We start from the raw sequence: 19,671 nt of genomic DNA, 5'->3' as shown, positions 1-19,671 counted from the left end.
AGCCTGGCCAACATGGCGAACCCTCGTCTCTGCTACAAAAAAAAAAAAAAGAAAAAGAAAAAAGAAAATTAGCCAGGTGTGGTGGTGCACACCTGTAATCCCAGCTACTTGGAGGCTGAGGCAGGAGAATCGCTTGAACCTGGGACGCAGAGGTTGCAGGTTCTGAGATCATGCCACTGCACTTCAGCCTGGGTGACAGAGCAAGACTCCATCTCAATAATAATAATAATAGTAATAATAATAATAAAATTACTATATGTATGAAAATATTCCAAGTACACATTTTTAAAAGCTAAGAAGTACTAAAAGCATTGTAATGAAAAGTAATAGTCCCCACCCCATAGGCCATCTTCCTAGAGGCTACTGTTCTCAACTCTTTAGCTGTTTTTTCTGGTATTTATCTCCATGTTTCTCAACAATGTGTGTATAATGAGATTTCTTGATCTTTTAATTTTAGGTAGCATCTGTTAGTTTACTGCCATGAGAAATGAGGACTTAACTCTCATACATCATACTTTCCACCTATCATTCCTCTTGTGATTCTATCATAAATTTTGGTTGAATCTGGTGGTCAGTGTTTACATTATGATAATTATGCAAACATTGTGCACTACAGAGCCAAGTAGTGTACATGACCATGCTTTCGTTCTTGTAGAACCTCTTTATTTTTGCCTAGAGTTAATCATCACTTGATTTCTATTATTTATTTTCTTAAAAAATTATATAATATGCATGTGCCTCATTTTTTATGATTCTCTGATTCTTTGTTTTTTAATGCTTCTCTACATGGCCCATGCACACTGGTTACATTTTTTTTCTGGGTAACTTCATCTCCCCATTCATATCTATACTGGTTGTCCATGGGCCTACTGCATAGCTGTTCCTAGGACTACAACTACACTTTGCTCTGTTGGATCCCCTGTTTCTTAAATTATTAAATTCTGTGTCTTCCTCTTTCCTGGCTGACTCGTTTGGTTTCAGCAGCACATCCCCAGAACCTTCTGGAATAAAGGTACATAGAGATAAATATTGTGAGATCTTTGACATCTGAAAATGTTTTTATTCTGCCCTCATACTTGATTGAGAATTTATCTGGGTTGGTGTGGAATTCTAGATTGCAAATCATTTCCCCTCAGTATTATAAACAGTTTGCTCCAGTTTCTTCTGACTTCCAATGTTGCTACTGAGATGTTCAATGCCATTTTGATTCCTAGTCCTTTGTATGTTATCTGTTATTTTTAGGAAGATTTTAGTATCTCCTTTTTATCCTTAGAGTTCTGAAGGGTTATAAAGATGTGCCTTAGCCTGAACCTTTCTTCCCATTCATTTTGTGGCTCACTTAGCAGGCGCTTCGATACTGAGACTCTTATCCTTTCATTCTGAGAAATTTTCTGGTATTATTTCTTTGATAATTTCCTGCCCTCCATTCTTGCTGGATGTTGGACTTTCAGAATGAATCCTCAGATTTTCCTCTCTCTCACATTTTTCCATCTTTTTGTACTATGGTCATCAATTATTTTCTATCTTTTCTTTTGAATACTTACTTTCAACTATTCTGCTTTTTCATAGCCAAAATCCCTTTCTTGTTATGATTATTTTATTTTGCACCCTGCTATGGTTTGAATGTCTGTGTCCCCACAAAATTTATATGTTGAGACCTTACCCCCAATGTGATAGTATTTGTAGATGGGAACTTTTGAGAGGTGATCAGGTCATGAGAGTGGAACTCTTATGAATAGTATTAGTGCCTTTATGAAAGAGACCCAAGGGAGTCAGCTCACCCCTTCTGCCATGTGAGGCCACTGCAAGAAGACACTATCTCTGAACCAGAAAGCAGGCCCTCCCCAGACACCAGATCAGCACCTTGATCTTGGATTCCAGTTCCTAGAACCGTGGGAAATAAATTTCTGTTGTTTGTAAACCATCCAGTTTATCATATTTTCTTATAGCATCCCAAACAGTCTAAAATACACCCTCTCATTTCATGGATAAAATGTCTTTTCGTATTTCTCTATAGATAGTAACTATACTACTTTTGAAGATTTGTTCTGTTGTTTCCTCTGTTTGGTCTTTTTGTTTCATGTTAGAACTTTCCATCAACATCTGGTAATCTTTGGCTGTTAAGATTTCATTATGATGCACAAAAAACTGGTGGGGGGTTCTGTGTGCATGAATGTGGCTTATTCTCAGAGGCGATCTGGCAGATAATCAGCTTATTCACTGAGGGGAGTCTCCCAGTGTCTGAACCTGAAAGTTTCTTCTCTGTGACCATCCCATTTTTTTCCAGAGTAGGATCGTTTCCTAACTGACTGCCAGTGTTCTGGAAGCAGGTGCAGTGAAGAGCCTAAGAGTCCCACTAATGTGTGTGTGAATTCTGAATCCTTAGCCACCGTGTTCATCCCTAACCCATACTGCCACAAGGACTCTCAAGTCTCACAACCAATTCGTTTTAACACGAGAAGACATTAAGAGGGTTAAGAGGTTCTCCATGATTCACCTACTAGTGTGAATTCATATCTGCTCCTTTTGCTTTTCCCCTGGCCCTTAGCTGATATCAACTGCCCTGAGGAAATGGAAGTCTGATTGGTCAGGAAGCAGGAGTAAGTGGGTAATTTGGGGTCACAGACCCCCCTCAGCAGGCAAGCAGCCCAGAGGTGGGTAAAGCACATTAGGAAAGGATGCTGCAATCCAGGGACTAGGGCCCTGGACCTGGATGCCAAAAGGGAGTTGGGAAAGTAGAAAAGAAAACAATTTATGCTTAAATTGTGCTCAGAGCCAGGGCTCTATGCAAAGCAGCAGCAGGTGACCTGTTTTCTCCCTCCTGCACTGCAGAGAACCTGCCCTCAAAGACCCAGAGCTCAGCTTCAGTGGAAGTTGAACGGCACTGTACAAGCAAAACTGAGAACCCAGTCACCCTGAGAAAAATGGTTTCTAGGGGGAAACACATTCTTTGGTCCAAACAACCAACTTACAAATGATCTTTTGGACCACGTCCTGCCTGCAAACTGAGGCTCGATTCACCTTTAATGGACCAGTTCTGGCAGTGCCAAGGGAGAGAGGCCATTAGCAGAAATGAAAAAAGCAAGAAATCTTTTAGTCCACTAGGTTAAGATTTTTTTATGCTTTGTTGTTTATGATTTCCCACTTTAGTTACTCTTTCCCGGAACAAATGTTATGATTCTACTTCATCTCTATTTACTGAAGCAAATAGATGCTTATCAGCAGTCATGCTACAAATCGCAAAGCAGTCAGTAAGGCCTTTGGGGCTGTGGTCTCTTTTGCAATTCTTTGATGTCTTGTCAGGCAACTTATTTTCTGTGCCTCAGAGAGTTTCCAAAAGCTACCACAATCTGATTGTGTGTGTGTGTGTGTACATATGTGTGTGTATATCTATATGCACTCTTTCTCTCTATATATATATACATATGGCATATAAATACAGTAAAGTCAAAGAATTGAGCAAAAGCAGATTTTGGTTTTTACCTTAAGAATATCATTTCACTTCCTGAAAAATTAGGAATTAGGAGTCCCAAGAATACCACATAGCATTTAGGAAGACTTGAGTGGGAGCTAAGAAAGTTCGAATGAGGGGAGGAAGAAAGTCCCTGGTCAGGCTGGGTATAGTGACTCAAGCCTGTAATCCTAGCACTTTAGAAGGCTGAGGTGGGAGGATTGTTTGAGCTCAGGAGTTTGAGATCAGCCTGGGCAACCTAGCAAGACTCTGATTTCTATTTAAAAAAAGAAGAAGAAAGAAAGAAAATAAAAGAAAAAGGCTGGGTCAGTGGCCTCAGTTGAACCCTGGAGGATGCTGTGATCCTCTTGGTGATGTCCCCAGCCTCTGCTTCAGGATGACAGCATGGTCTCCTGCACTGTAGCTCGGTTTGAAATTTTCAGTTTTTCTTTCAATTTCGCCTTTTTCAGACTCCAAGGGGGATGGAGGAGATGGTCTGAATAAGACAAATATGAAAGAGGAAGTGTCTCAGCACCAACCAAACGTAAAACAGCGACAGCGACCCACTTCACTTGTGACCTATACAGAAATACTGAAGACGTCCTCTGTGTCCTTTTAGACTTTCTGGGGGAGGGAACAGCCGCTGCCCAGAAGCAAGCAGCTTCCTTTTGGCCAGGTCAGTGCAGGGAACCAACAAAGACAGGGACCTGTGGCCAGAAGAAGCACAGCCGCAGCAGGTGTCTGATTGGACTGAGCCAGGAAAGGCCTTCTTGCCCTTAGGGACCCCTCAAGGCTTTTTTCCCAAAAGCTGGAAACTGCTTGGCTCACTGCTGTGCTAAATGCAGGTGCCAGCCGAGGGGGTTACCCTAGGACCGTGAGCCATTAACAGCTTGTCTCAAATACACTTCTCCAAGGCAGTCAGCAACTCCCCACTGAACACCTGTGGGTTCCTGCTGGTGCTAACTTAGGCACGGGGCTAGCAGGTCCCTCCCCTGTAGCAGATGATGAGAGCAAGTGTGGTGCAGGAGGAACTGAAAAGAGAGCGTCGTCAGAGATGACACTTGCGTGGATTAAAACCATATATTCTTGTGCAATGTAAAAATGCCAACTTGCATCAGCGTAACGAAGGACACACTTAGAATAGAAAAGCTGAGGAGGACAGAAGAATAGGAAGAACAACAAAACCATGCCTGGTCCTTTTGCCCAGAAATGACCCATGTGAATCTTGGCTGAACTTTTAGACTTTTTCGTGGTGCACATTTTTCAACATAATTTGACAACGTGGGACCTCTAGAATTGTACATTCTAATTTTTCAGTCCATTTATTTCTTATTCCAGAAAGAATCCATGTATAAGGATGGCTCATCACAGTGTTGTTTTTAATTCTGAAAAGCTGAAAGATGGATGCTCACCACTAGTGTTTATACATAAGTTCAATAAAGTTATGCTCTCACAATAAAATATTATGTAGTCATTAAAAAGAACAATCTCATGCTATGCGTATTATCATGGAAGGATGTCCCCAAGATCTTGCTGAAATGTTTTAAAAAGTCCCAAGCAGTGTATATATAATTTGAAGCTATTTATATAAAAATATGGGTGTATATGTGTGTAAAAAAGGATGTTTGGGCCGGGCATGGTGGCTCACGCCTGTAATCCCAACACTTTGGGAGGCCAAGGTGGGTGGATCATTTGAGGTCAGGAGTTGGAGACCAGCCTGGCCAACATGGTGAAACCCGTCTCTACTAAAATATATATAAAAAAAAAATTAGCTGGGATGTGGTGGTGGGTGCCTGTAATCCCAGCTACTGGGGAGGCTGAGGCAGGAGAATCACCTGAGCCTGGGAGACAGAGGTTGCAGTGAGTTGAGATCTCCCCAGTGCGCTCCAGCCTGGGCAACAAAGTGAGAATCCGTCTCAAAAAAAAAAAAAAAAAAAAAAAGGATGTTTGCCAAATGTTAATAATGTTAGAAGGAGGGCTTTTTGTGCTGTTTTACTTTCTTCTTGATATTTTTTAGCAATATTTATTTTGCAATGAGCATTTACTAGCTTTATTTTTTTTAACTATTTACCTTGAAAAAATTATGTAAATCTATACTTACTATATAAAATACATTTATTTTGTAGTGAGTGAAAATGAGGGTTACCAAACATATACATAGTATAATATCATGTTCATATGTTATAGTTTTATATATAAATTTACATAGTTTAAGTGTTTATAAACACAAAAATACATATTCACACATTTGATATATATAATGTGCATATAAATTTTACATGTATATATAAAACGTTTTAAAACATTTTTTTAAGATTACTCTTATATTTTGAATAATAATTGTATTTCCATTCTGGGGAAAAGAGTAATATTTTGGAAACCAGATGCAGTGGCTCATTCCTGTAATCCCAGCACTTTGGGAGGCCGAGGCGGGTGGATCACCTGAGGTTAGGAGTTCGAGACCAGCCTGGCCAACGTAACAAAACCCCATCTGTACTAAAAATACAAAAATTAGCCAGGCATGCTGGCGGGCACCTATAATCCCAGCTACTTGGGAGCCTGAGGCAGGAGAATCGCTTGAGCCCGGGAGATGGAGGTTGCAGTGAGCCAAGATTGTGCCACTGCATTCCAGCCTGGTGGACCAAGTGAGAAACTATCTCGAAAAAAAAAAAAAGTAAGATTTTGGGCTAAGTCTTGGAGGGGTAGGGACGGCCAGTCCACGGCAGCCCAGGCTGAGGGCACAGCACGTACCAAAAAGCCACAGCAGAGCAGGGTCACACGTGGCACACGCTGCTCCTGGCACCTGATAGCACCAGTGTTCTGTCCTCCTGGAAACTCTCCTCTTGCTTTTCTGGGTCACTGTTCTCTCTGGGCTGCCCAGTCAGCCAAGCAGGCACCGAGAGGGGCCCTGAGGGATTGAGGCTGTCCCGGATAGGGGCTCCGTAAGGGGGAAGCCAACCTACTTTGCAGTGTTCCTGAGGCTCAGGCCCGTGTGCCACAGTGAGAGGGCGCGAACTCCACGGTCTGTGGACTTGGGTTCAGCTGAGGCACCACCAGCTCCTGGGTGGCCCTCAGCCAAGGCACTTTACCTCCCTGGGACTCAGTGTGTTTATCCAGGGGTATGAACAATAAGAACCTCTGGCCCACAGGCTTAATGAGAGAATTAAATAAGACATGGGAACAGCTCCTTTCAACTGTTTATTACCAGAAGGTGCCCAATAACCAGGCATGGCAAAAGCCCAAAGGCAAAAACACAAAGCCCTGACATTTAACAAGTTGTTTTTTTGCTAAGAAACCAGCGCTGGAGACAAGTACTTGTGATATATCCTCGTGGTTGGATGTGTTGGTCACAAGTTCTAATTACGGAAATGCCCGCTGACAAAAGGGCCTGTTGATGTGAGTCACTATGAGTGGTTTCACTCTCTAGGCCTGGGCTGCTCCTAGGAATCATTTGCAGATACATCTATCTACCTATCTTTTTTCTTTTTTTTAAGATTGGAGTTTTGCTTTTGTTGCCCAGGCTGGAGTGCAATGGCACAATCTCGGCTCACCACAACCTCCCTCTCCTCGGTTCAAGCGATTCTCCTGCCTCAGCCTCCGGAGTAGCTGGGATTACAGGCACCCGCCGCAATGCCCGGCTAATTTTTGTATTTTCCTAGAGACAGGGTTTCACCATGTTGTTGGCCGGGCTGGTCTCCTAGCTATCTTTTTTTTTTTTTTCTTTTTTTTGAGACAGGGTCTCACTCTGTCACCCACTCTTCACTCTGTGAAGTGCAATGGCACCATCAGGGCTCACTTTAGCCTTGACCTTCTGGGCTCAAGCATTCCTTCCGCCTCAGCCCTCTGAGTAGCTAAGACTATAGGTGTGTGCCACCATGCCCAGCTAATTTTTTTATTGTTGTTTTGAATTGTAGTATAGATGTCTCACTATATTAACCAGGCTGGCCTTGAATTCCTGAGCTCAAGCAATCCTCCCACCTCGGCCTCCCAAAGTGCTGGGATTACAGGCATGAGCCACTGCACCCAGCCAATAAGATACATGTTTTTATTAAAATAATGCAGTGATTTTTTTTTTTTTGAGACAAGGTCACATTCCGTTGCCCAGGCTGTGCACTCACTGCAGCCTTGACCTCCTGGGCTCAGGCGATCCTTTCACCCCAGCCTCCATGTAGCTGGGACTACAGGTATGTGCCACCACACCTGGTTAATCTTAATTTTTTTTTTAGAGATGGAGTCTTGCTATGTTGCCCAGGCTGGTCTTGAGCTCCTGGACTCCAGTGATCCACCCGCCTCAGCCTCCCAAAGTGTGCCACCACACCCAGCTAATTTTGTATTTTAAGTAGAAACAGGGGTTCTCCATGTTGGTCAGGCTGGTCTCGAACTCCTGACCTCAGGTGATCTGCCTGCCTCAGCCTCACAAAGTGCTGGGATTACAGGTGTGAGCCACCGAGCCCGAATGCTACTTGTTCTTGTTACACATTTATATGCTGAAGAAATGGAATCTACGATTTGCTGTAGTAGCAATCCAGAAAAACAAAGCGTAGTTGTTGGAATAAAACACGACTTATTGACATTGAGTGTCACCTGGGGGTGACCCAGCACAGCAAGAATGGATCAGCTTAAGCAGGTGTGGTGGCGTGCACCTGTGGTCCTAGCTACTCAGGAGGCTGAGGTGGGAGGATCGCCTGGGCTCAGGAGGTTGAGGCTGCAGTAAGCCAAGATCATGCCACTGCACTCCAGCCTGGGCAACAGAGCAAGACCCTGTCCCAAAAAAAAATAAATAAAAATAATAAAAATAAATTAAAAATAAAAAATAAATAAAAGAATGGACCACCCTTGTAACATCCAAGCTCATAGAGAGAATGATGTAGAAAAACCCCAATGGCTTTGTATTGAATCATCACCCTCAGAGGGCTGGGGACATAGGTTCATAGATCAGCACCTTCACTCCCAGGAGGCAGGGGAAGACAATTTCTCTCTTTTTTTTTTTTTTTTTTTTGAGACATAGTTTCGCTCTTGTCGGCAGGTTAGAGTGCAGTGGTGCGGTATCGGCTCACTGCAACCTCCGCCTCCCAGGTTCGAGTGATTCTCCTGCCTCAGCCTCCCGAGTAGCTGGGATTACAAATGCCCACGACCACGCCCAGCTAATTTTTACGTTTTTAGTAGAGACGGGCTTTCTCCTTGTTGGCTAGGCTGGTCTCGACCTCCTGACCTCAGGTGATTCACTTGCCTCAGCCTCCCAAAGTGCTGGGATTACAGGCGTGAGCCACCACGCCCAGCCAGGAAGCCAATTTATAACAAGCTTTCTTGGTAAACATGGGTAATTAGTTGATGACCCTAATGGTCCCTACCCCTCAAAGTTTGGTGCATCCTCTTTGTCCCAGCCATGTGAGGACACAACATGTAGCTGGCCATCTGGGGACCAGGAAGAGAGCCCTCCCCAGAACCCAACCATGCTGACACTTGACTTTGGACTTCTTAGCCTCTGCTGTGAGTGATGAATGCTTGTTGTGTAATCCACCCAACCTGTGATACTCTGTGGTAGCAGCCCAAGCTGACTAAGACACTTGGCAAGTGCATCTCCACAATAAGATCCAAGCCATCTCAGCCTGGAAGTTGATGCTTCCAGATGGTGTTGAGGAGAATGAACAAAGTTTGTCTCTCTTTTTTTTGAGACAGAGTCTTGCTCTGGCTGGAGTGCAGTGGTGCAATCTCAGCTCACTGAAACCTCCACCCCCTAGGTTCAAACAATTTATCGTGCCTCAGCCTCCCAAGTAGCTGGGATTACAGGCATGCAGCACCACACCCAGCTGATTTTTGTGTTTTTAGTAGAGATGGGGTTTCGCCATGTTGGCCAGGCTGGTCTCGAACTCCTGACTTCAAGCGAACCACCCACTTGTCCTCCCAAAGTGCTGGGATTATAGGCATGATCCAAAACCACACCCAGCCCAAAGGTTTTCCTTTGACCTTTCATTTTCTATTGTTGATCAATCTCTTTTTTTTTTTTTTTTTGAGATAGGGTCTTGTTCTGTCACCCAGGCTCGAGTGCAGCAGTGTGATCACGGTTTATTGTAGCCTCAGACTCCCAGACTCAAGCAATCCTCCTGCTTTAGCCTCCTGAGTAGCTGGGACTAGAGATGCAGGCCACCACACCCAGAAAATTTTTATTTTTTTGTAGAGATGGGGTCTCATTATGTTGCCCAGGCTGCTCTCATACTCCTGGGCTCCAGTGATCCTCCAACCTTGGCCTCTCAAAGCACTGGGATTATAGACGTGAGACATCACGTCCAGCCCTAACCCCCTTTCTGATTGGCACGTTCTTAAGGTACCTTACAAGAGGTTAGAAGTGTTTTTGTAAATATACCTTTTTTTTTTTTTTTTTTTTTTACAAACTTCAGTTGTAATCAAGTCTTGCTAAAGAACACATTCTGATCTCTTAAGGTAACCTTACATTTCTTTACATTAGAACTTTATATTTCTTCTAATCCATATGCATTGGTTCTACAGTTTTAGTTTTGTAATTGCCAAAAAAATACAGGATTCTCAGTCACATCAGAATTTCAGATGAACAATGAGTGATTTTTTAGTATAAGCATGTCCCATAAATTTCATGGGATATACCTACATTAAAAGTGATTTGTTGTTCATTTGAAATTCTGTTTAACTAAGCACCCTGTATTTTTATTTGTAAAACCTGACCACCCTCTCTCCAAGGGAAATCCTAGTTCCCTAATTTCCAAATTGGTGGAGGTGGTGGTGACCTCATGATTGCTCATGTAACCTATCCACAGTTTCAAGAAGAAAAGAAAGGTAATTCTGTATGCTAAAAAGACACATACCACACAAATAGCAAGTATGTCCCCATGCAAGGAAAACTCGTACTACTACTTATGTGTTTCCCACCATGCACTGCCTAACACACATGAGGGCATATAATGGGAGAAGACTTGCAGAAAAATTCTCTTTAAGTTTATATTTGATGGAAAAAAATTATATTACCTCTTAGTAATGTTGAAGCAGGACTTCTTTTTTGACCTTTAGGATACAAGAAGCCACAATTTCATGGCTAGTTTTGTTCATTCCAACTTAACTAGTGCTGGATGACTCACAGAGAGTGATGTCTGGTCAAACACAAGCCCCTGGGCACAGTGGCTCACGCCTGTTATCCCAGTACTTTGAGAGGCTGAGGCAGGTGGATCATGTAAGCCCAGGAATTCAAGACCAACCTGGACCATATGGGAGAAAACCCTCTCTACTAAAAAAAAAATACAAGAAAATTAGCCGAGCGTGGTGGCACATTCCTGTAGTACCAGCTACTCGGGAGGCTGAGGTAGGAGGATCACTTGAGCCCAGGAGGTCCAGGCTGCAGTGAGCCATGGTCACACCACTGCACTCCAGCCTGGACGACAAAGGGAGACCCGGTCTTGGGAAAAAAAAAAGAAATTAAAAATTAAAATAAAAAAATAATAAAATTAAAATGTAAAAAATACATATATGTCTTGCCCTACAGGTTAGATGCATTCAGAGAAATTTACCTGAAAATGAATTTCTGAAAAGTAAATTTATTTCCCTAGTTTTCAATAAAAAATGAGCATAACTAGGCTTTCAACCTCAATCTGCCAATTTATCATTTGGTCCTTGGCAAGTGTATAAACTAAAAACTTCACTGAGACTCAGCTTTCTCATTTATCAAACGTAGCCCAAATGGCTACCTTTCCCTCCAGCCAATGCCAGGGGAAGTGCTTGGTGAGGAAGGGGTAAGCAGCATGAGAGGCCCTCCAAGATGCCCCCATGGCATCTGTGATCTCCCTGTTCCCTTCTTAATAAAATGAATATAGATCAAGCAACTCCTAGGTGTGAGCCATTCTGAAAGGGGCTGTGGGATAGAACACATCCCTGCATCCCTTGAAGAGTTAGACTCCACCTGGAAAGATAGGACATGTGTAGTCATCTGTTACAGTGGTAGCCCCCAGTGAAATGCACCTCCTGGTATTCATGCCCTCTATAGATCACTCCACTGAATCTGGGCTGCCTGAAACAACAGAAGGTGACAGAGATGACACTGTGCCAGCTGTGCCAAGGGGCACGCATGGAGGGGCTCACTTCAGGGTGCTGGATGAAGAACAGGGCAGGAGGCCGGACACAGAAGCTCATGCCTGTAATCCCAGCACTGTGGGAGGCCGAGGCGAGTGGATCACCTGGGGTCAGGAGTTCGAGACCAGCCTGGCCAACATGGTGAAACTCCCATCTCTACTAAAAATACAAATATTAGCCAGGTATGGTGGTGGGCACCTGTAATCCCAGCTATTCAGGAGGCTGAGGCAGGAGAACTGCTTAAACCTGGGAGGTGGAGGTTGCAGTGAGCCGAGATCACGCCACTGCACTCCAACCTGGACGACAAGAGGGAGACTCCATCCCAAAAAACAAAACAAAACAAAACAAAAAAAACAGGACAGGGACAGATGCTGGGCTTTGAAGACTGCAAAGCTCTAGGGCTACGCCTTAGGATATCTTGGTGGATTCCACATTTGTAGTCCTGGGAGCCCTGAGCCACCAGGTAACGGGCCTTACTTTCCTGTTAGAGAGGCCACGTGGAGAGTGAGAGGCCCCTGAGACTATATGGAGGAGAACGAGAAGCTCAGCCAAACACGTGCACATGTTCAAGCTGACCCAGCCATCCTCCGGACTCCGGAGCTACACCAGCCCGGACCCCTGACATGGGGGTGGTGAAGCCACATCTCCAACTCATTCCTGGGTGTGCAAGATGCAAGTTAACATGGAACTCATTCTTGGGTATGCAAAAGATCAGGAATGTTTAAGCAAAGCAACCAATGTCTAGGTAAAGGTGATGCTCCCCAGACAGGGAACAGCACCCAGTATCCCCTGTTTAAATTCCAGACCCACAGATTTGTGGGCAAATAGCATTTTGGTTGTTTTTAAGGTACCTCGCTTTTGGGTAGTCTGTTATGTAGCCATAGGTAATAAAATCTCAAACTCTCAGGAAAAGTAAAATGTCCCTCAAAATGTTAGGCATCTGTGCCTTCCAGCCAGACAGGTTTCTCAGGGTCGAAAGCAAGGACATGCCCAGTTCTAGCACAGGCAGGAACACTTCCTGTTGGGGACTGAGCAGGAACTCCCTGTGAGGGCCCCAGGTTTCTGGATCCTGGGTGGGTGTGGGGACAGGCACCCGGGCTGAGGGGCTCGCCTGTGTCTGTTCAGCCACGGCTGTGCTTCCCCAGAGAGGAAACATCATGGGGGGCTGCGTTTGAGGTGGGGGTGTCAGTGCCATGGAATCAGGGCTACCTCTACTGCACAAAGCACCGTGACGTCCCCTACCTTCCAGGCAATAGCAAAAACCAGAAGAGACAGGCGGTAGCAAAAAGGGAGGGTGGAGTGGAGGGAGAGAGGGATAGAGGCCAAAAAACACCCCATGAGGCAGCAAGGGCAGCTGCCAAGGCTTCAGTTAACCCAGGACAGAAACAGGACTCGCCACCTGGCCACGGAGGCCAGAGGGCTGCAGAAGGGCGTGCATGCAGAGGGGCTGACTTCAGGGCACTGAAGACAGCACAAGCTCTTGACGGGGCCAGGATACTACACACACAGGGCCAACAGGCCAGCACACGCGGAAGCAGCAGTGCAGGCATCCCGCTGTGGATGTAGGCTGCTTGAGGCAGTGGTGGGTCGGTGTAGCAGGCAGGAGGAGCAGGTGGAAATGTGAATGCCAGGCCAAGGCAGCATATGGGCCAGGCTGATTGAAGGCTGGGCCTATGCCTGGTTCATCTTGGGCTCCCCAGCCCCTAGCACATAATAATAGATGCTCAATAAATGCTTGCCAACAGATGGACTTTGCTTCTAGGTCACTGGGAAACACTGAAGCTATCTCCACAGGGGTGACCCAAATGAAAGCAGCGAAAGGAATGCTGGAGTGGCCAGAGTGGCTGGCTGGAGAAGGCCCACGAGGCTTCCGCAGCCTCCCAAGGAGGGGAGGCAAGGGCAGGGCTCAGGAAGGGACAGAAGGATGGAGAGAGCCTTGTCCTCAGGAAGCATTTTGCCGATGGGCAGTCAGGGTAGGAGTGGATCCCAGGGGCCTGGGCTGTGGTCCAGTCTCGCCATGAAATCACCATGTGACCCCAGCAAGTCACTCCCTATCTCTAGGGCTCAGCTCCATCTCTGTGCATCAGAGGAGTCAGATGAGAAGTTTCCCTTTTGGTCAGACTGTGATGCTGAGATTTGGTGACTGATGTAAGGCGTAGGTGGAGTGGCATCAGGAAAGGGTAGGAGCACCAGGGGTCAAAGATAGTTCTGAGGAGGATGGTGGAGAAAATGATGTGGCTGTGGGCAGAAATAGGAAGTCTCAGGATGGGGAGCTGAGCTCGGGCAGGAAAGATGATGTGTGGGCGGCTAGGGGAGCTTGAAGGAGACAAGGGCACAACTCCACAGCAAACGGGCAGTGGAGGCAAAAAGGACAGCCAACTTGAACATGTCCCCCGCAGCTGGGTGTGACAGGCTGGAAATGTCTCCCTCCCCAAAATATATCCACACCCTGATCCCCAGAACCTGTGAATACAAGGGTCTTTGCAGATGTGATTAAGTAAGGGTCTTGACATGGAAGGAGATTATCCTGGATTACATGGGTGGGCCCTAAATACAGTTCTTTTCTGTTTATTTTGTAGAGACGGGGTCTTACTATGTTGCCCAGCATAATCTTCAATTCCTGGCCCCAAGTGATCCTCCCACCTCAGCCTCCCAAAGCACTGGGATTACAGGTGTGAGCCACTGCATCTGGCCAATGCAGGTATCTCTGTAAGAGGGAGACAGAGGGATATCAGACACACCGAGGAGAAGGCCGTGTGAAGATGGAGCAGAGAGAGATTTGAAGATGCTGACCTTGAAGACTGGAGCGATGCAGCCACGAGCCAAGGAATGCGGCTGGCCACCAGAAGCTGGAAGAGACCAGGAACAGATTCTCCCCTGGAGCCCGCAGCCAGTGCACAACTGAGCAGTAAGGAGTTTAGACTTCTGGCCTCTAGAACTGTGAGAGAGTAGATTTCTGTTGTCTTAATCTACCAAGGGTTTGTGGTAATGCCAGCAGTCACTGGAAGTGCATACACTGGCCATCCCACAAATCCCAGGCTCTGAACTCACAGCCAGGTCCCTACCCAGGCTCCTGGTTAACTGCTTTGCATGTGTTGCCTCTTACTCCTCCAATAAGCCAGGGGGGAGGACCTATTAGTATCCCCACTTCCCAGAGGAGGAAAACCAGGTGTCGAGAGGTCAGATCATCTTCCCGAGGTCACGGAGCAGGTCTGTGACAAAGGCTGACTCTCGCTGAGATGGGTGTGACACCAGTGGGAACATTTCACCATTCTGCCACTCTGTCCCCAGCTATGAACATAGATTCCTAAAAATGTTATTATGTACACAAGGGTTCCAGTTCTGGTAAAGGAATTAGGGCCTCCCTCTCTCGGTGCCCGAAGCCATAGAAGTTATTATGTATAACAACAGCAGTTCAAAATCCCAACTCAGCCACGGGGTGATGGCAGGTTAGCTTGTGCTCCTCCCTCCTAACCCTGCTGTGCCACAGGGCAGCAAACTGGGACCCTAGGAAGTGGCAGCTTGCTCCAAGTCTTAAGGCTGGTCCCCTGATGTTAGAGCCAGAATCAGAAGCCAGTTCAGAATTTCCCCACCCAGCACACAGAGTACATTTTAGGAGTAAATTAGGCAGCTGAAATGTGAAAAGAAATGGGGACTTGGTCACATGATCCTTGCTATTGAAGACAGTCCCAAGACCACTGTCCAGAATTAAACTCTAAAATCAAATGTATTTTCCAAACACATGCATGATGCCTGCCCTCCACCAGAGGTGGGAGGTGGCCAGGCAAGCCAGACTGGGTGCCACCTAAGTCACTGGAGATCAGGGGAGGACACTTGACCAGAATAGGTCCATTGGCTGACAGGTGGCCCATGAGGACTCCCTCCAATGGGGCAAACTATTGAATCCATCAGACTGGCTCCCTGCAGTGGGCTGGACAATTTGTAGAGGACTGGACAACAGAGAAAGAGACGCAGGGGCTGGGGGGCAGGAGAGAAGAACCTGTTGCCAGAGCAGCCTTGCATCCTGGCAGCTTTCCCTCCTCACTCTTCGTCCTGAAGGAAGCCTCCCTGGGTTCTCCATTCTAACCACGTTAGAGTCAGCCTCTCACGTAACTCTTAAGGCACAAAACAGAGTCAAATGTACATAGTAGGCAGGTCTTCTCCCAGTCCTTTTGCTTGGCATCTTTTCGTTCAGATTCCTGCAGTTTTGACTCCTTTGTGAAGTGATACACTTACGAATGCCTTACTGAATTAATTTTGCTGCCTGTCACTCTAGCAAATCCACTTCGGGCCAGTCGGATTTGCCAGGGTTTGTTCTCCTCCTTACGGGTCCGGCAGGGCTCCCGGGCGAGCCAGCTTCAGGCAGAGACCACAGCACGTCCCCCTTTTCATACTCCAAAAGCCAAAAGAAGATGGGGTTGGGGCGAGGCAATCTGGGACCCCATTTTCTATTAATCTTGCCTTAATTACATGCTGAAAAATGAACATTAAGGCTGGGTGCAGTGGCTCATGCTATAATCCCAGCACTTTGGGAGGCCAAGGTGGGTGGATCACTTGAGGCCAGGAGTTCGAGACCGGCCTGGACAACATGGTGAAATTTCATCTTTACTAAAAAATATAAAAATGAGCTGGGCATGGTGGTGGGCACCTGTAATCCCAGCTACTTGGGAGGCTGAGGCTTGGACCTGGGAGGCGGAGGTTATGGTGAGCCGAGATTACACCACTGCACTCCAGCCTGGGCAACAGAGTGAGACTCTATCTCAAAAAATAAAAAAAAGAAAAGAAAAGAATATTAAAATTCTCACCATTGAGGAATGTTTACTATGTGCCTGAACACAATGCTAACTTTAAAAAATAGCTATTGCTCTTCGGCTTGAGTCACAGAGGGAAAAAGAAAAAAATTAAAAATCAAAATACACAGCTATTGTGTGTTTTCCTATAGTAAAAATAGAGGAGAGCTGAATTCTGTTGGGTATGGAGTTAATAATAATTTACACCTGTGGTGCTCAGCCAACCACACGGGTGGGGTGCTTGTGAATTTTACTTACAGATCCTATTAATATAAGGCTGAACTTCTCCATTTCCACCCTCCCACTTCAACCACCATCAACACGACTGCTCTCTCAGGGGACTTTTAGCTCCTCTATCACTGCAGGGTGGCAAAGGTGATGCTACAGCCCGTCAATTTCACACACTGGTTTCCAGTTTTGTTTTTGTTTTTTTAAGACAGAGTGTCACCTTTCACCCAAGCTGGAGTGCAGTGGTTCCATCCTGGCTCACTGCAACCTCCACCTCCCAAGTTCAAGCAATTCTCCTGCCTCAGCCTCCTGAGTAGCTGGGATTACAGGTGCACGCCAGCATGCCCAGCTAATTTTTGTGTGTGTGTGTTTTTTTTTTTAGTAGAAACGGGGTTTCACCATGGTAGCCAGGCTGGTCTCGAACTCCCGACCTCAGGTGATCCACCCGCCTCCGCCTCCCAAAATGCTGGGATTACAGGTGTGAGCCACCACGCCCAGCCTGGTTTCCAGTTTCTTTGGGGGGAAACTGCCAAAGCAAAAACCCAAATGAAACAAAGAGGATGATAGATAGAGAGGAAAGAAGGCAGGCAAAAAAAAGGGAGTGAAAAAGAAGCAGATAAAAATAAAAATAGCTGCCCCTCAGCCCGGGCAACATAGGAAGACCCCAACTCTAAGAAAATTTAAAAAAATTAACCAGATGTTGTCGCACGCCTCTGTAGTCCTAACTCCTGGGGAGGCTGAGACTGGAAGATTACTTGAGCCCAGCAGGCTGCAGTGAGCTATGACTGCACCAGTGTACACCAGCCTGGGCAACAGAGTGAGACCCTGTCTCTAGGGAAAAAAAAAAAAAAAAGCTACCCCCAATTCCTATCCCATGCCTGGCACTGCAGCAGTTTCTGCATTTGATGTTTAACAATAAACTGAAACTGCCGCATAGGTGTTATAGGTAAGGCAAGCAACACGCAGAGAGGCTGGCATTTGCCTAAGGCCACACAGCTCAGTAAACACAGAAGCCTGGATTTGAATCCAAGTCCCTCTTATGGTAAAGCCCATGTTCTTGTTTACCGATCACAGAAGCACCCTACTCTCATTCCTTAAAGAATCTTACAAAATAAAAGAAAAATGCAGCACAGCAATTCTCTAGAAAATCCATTAGCGGGCACAGTGGCTCACGCCTGTAATCCCAGCATTTTGGGAGGCTGAGGCTGGCAGATCACCTGAGGTCAGGAGTTCGAGACCGGCCTGGCCAACATGGCAAAACCCCGTCTCTACTAAAAATAGAGAAATTACCAGCCTGGCCAACATAGTGAAACCCCATCTCTACTAAAAATACAAAAAATTAGCCGGGTGTGGTGGCGGGCGCCTGTAGTCCCAGCTACTCGGGAGGCTGAGGCAGGAGAATGGCGTGAACCCGGGAGGCAGAGCTTGCAGTGAGCTGAGATGGTGCCACTGCACTCCAGCCTGGGCGACAGAGCGAGACTCCGTTTCAAAAAAAAATATATATATATATAAATTAGCTGGGTGTGGTGGTGCACGCCTGTAATCCCAGCTACTCAGGAGGCCAAGGCAGGAGAATCACTTGAAACCAGGAGGCAGAAGTTGCAGTGAGCGAAGATCACACCACTGCACTCCAGCCTGGGTGACAGAGCGTGACTCCGTCTCAAAACAAACAAACAAACAACAAAAAAATTAGCCAGGCATGGTGGCAGGCACCTGTAATCCCAGCTACTTGGGAGGCCAAGGCAGGAGAATCACTTGAACCCGAGAGGCAGAGGTTGCATTGAGCTGAGATCGTGCCACTGCACTCCAGCCTGGGCAACAAGAGAGAAACTCCATCTCAAAAAAGAAAAAAAGAAAAGAAAATCCATTAGTTAGAATTGAAGGCTTGAGTGAAAAAAATGTAGTGAGTTATGTCTTATGCTGGAATCAGCAGTTTGGATCTCTTGTACTGTTGAGCAAAAAGGCCATTAAAGAAATGGAGCACAGTAAGGCTGGCAAGAAAGCGCTGCCCCGCAGGGCTTCATTATAATGAGGCCACGAGGGGCTTCTGGCTGAGATGAAAGATCTTGATGTCATGGATCCAGCATAACTCAGTCCTTCATGCCTTCTGGTGTGGACTCTACTCAAGCCCAGTCTTCGAAACTGACTATGTTTACAACCTTTCCCCAATGAGGGCATGATCTCCTTATTCTTTCTGACTTTTTATGATGGAAAGTTTCAAACATACACAAAATTTGAAAGAAGAGAATCATGAACACCTTAGAATAACGGACAATTAATATCTTACCACTTGCTTTATTTCTCTGTCTCTGTCTCTCTCTCTTCCTCAATTTCCTCCTTGGCTTCCTTGATACCCCTCCCTCCGAGAGCACACGCCTCTCTGCTGCTCCTACTTGGACAGTTCTCTGTCCTCCTCTTGAAGGCAAGGTTTCCTGCAAGCCCACTTCTCTCCTGACTCTAGGAAGTCAGTTCCCTAGGACAGGGATCCCCAACCTCTGGGCCACAGACCCGTATTGGTCCATAGTTTGTTAGGAACTGGGCCACACAGCAGGAGGTGAGCAGTGGGTGAATGAGGAAAGCTTCCTCTGAATTTACAGCCACTCCTTATTGCTCGCATTACCATGAGCTCCGCCTCCTGTCAGATCAGCGGTGGCATTAGATTTTCTTAGGAGTGCAAACCCTATTGTGAACTGCGCATTTGAGGGATCTAGATTGAGCACTCCATATTAGAATCTAATGCTCGATGATCTATCGCTGTCTCCCATCAAGCCCAGATGGGACCGTCTAGTTGCAGGAAAACAAGCTCACTGCTCCCACTGATTCTACATTATGGTGAGTTGTAAAATTATTTCATTATATATTTCATTATATATTACAATGTAATAATAACAGAAATAAATGTAATATGCTTTAATCATCCCAAATCCACTATCCCCACCCGGTCCGTGGAAAAATTGTCTTCCACAAAACCAGTCCCTGGTGCCAAAAAGGTTGGGGACCACTGCCCTAGAACAATCTCCCTACAACCCACGGCTTCAGCCACTGTGCGTGTAGCTTACATTCTGTGCTTTTATTTATCAGACCTCTCCACTGAGCTTGAGACCTGTA

General features: G+C 46.0%; 1 protein-coding gene across 7 annotated transcripts in view, besides 4 other annotated features; it reads right to left on the bottom strand.

Moving 5' to 3' along the window:
- AMZ2 (archaelysin family metallopeptidase 2) overlaps positions 1–19,671 on the bottom strand; it is a 51,036-nt gene that overhangs the window by 15,206 nt on the left and 16,159 nt on the right. The window contains exon 2 of one of the 7 annotated variants that reach the window (NM_001346472.1): positions 14,339–14,483. The exons of the other annotated variants lie outside the window; for them this stretch is intronic. The gene's annotated coding sequence lies outside the window, so the exon portion shown is untranslated. The remainder of the gene's footprint in view (positions 1–14,338; positions 14,484–19,671) is intronic. 7 annotated transcript variants of the gene reach the window in all.
- Positions 2,843–2,912: a silencer, noted in NCBI's record as "silent region_8896". NCBI's record gives its function as "represses an Ori minimal core promoter by ATAC-STARR-seq in GM12878 lymphoblastoid cells {active_cell/tissue: GM12878}" and the evidence as "EXISTENCE:reporter gene assay evidence [ECO:0000049][PMID:35858748]".
- Positions 3,572–3,821: an enhancer, noted in NCBI's record as "active region_12643". NCBI's record gives its function as "activates an Ori minimal core promoter by ATAC-STARR-seq in GM12878 lymphoblastoid cells {active_cell/tissue: GM12878}" and the evidence as "EXISTENCE:reporter gene assay evidence [ECO:0000049][PMID:35858748]".
- Positions 6,252–6,311: an enhancer, noted in NCBI's record as "active region_12642". NCBI's record gives its function as "activates an Ori minimal core promoter by ATAC-STARR-seq in GM12878 lymphoblastoid cells {active_cell/tissue: GM12878}" and the evidence as "EXISTENCE:reporter gene assay evidence [ECO:0000049][PMID:35858748]".
- Positions 12,442–13,327: an enhancer, noted in NCBI's record as "H3K27ac-H3K4me1 hESC enhancer chr17:66224773-66225658 (GRCh37/hg19 assembly coordinates)". NCBI's record gives its function as "activates a minimal SCP1, AML or CMV promoter by ChIP-STARR-seq in primed H9 embryonic stem cells {active_cell/tissue: H9 hESC(primed)}" and the evidence as "EXISTENCE:reporter gene assay evidence [ECO:0000049][PMID:30033119]".

This window comes from Homo sapiens, chromosome 17 (genome assembly GCF_000001405.40).
Source record: "Homo sapiens chromosome 17, GRCh38.p14 Primary Assembly".
In the NCBI taxonomy this organism is placed as follows: domain Eukaryota; kingdom Metazoa; phylum Chordata; class Mammalia; order Primates; family Hominidae; genus Homo; species Homo sapiens.
This window is presented reverse-complemented; position numbering and strand designations above follow the sequence as displayed.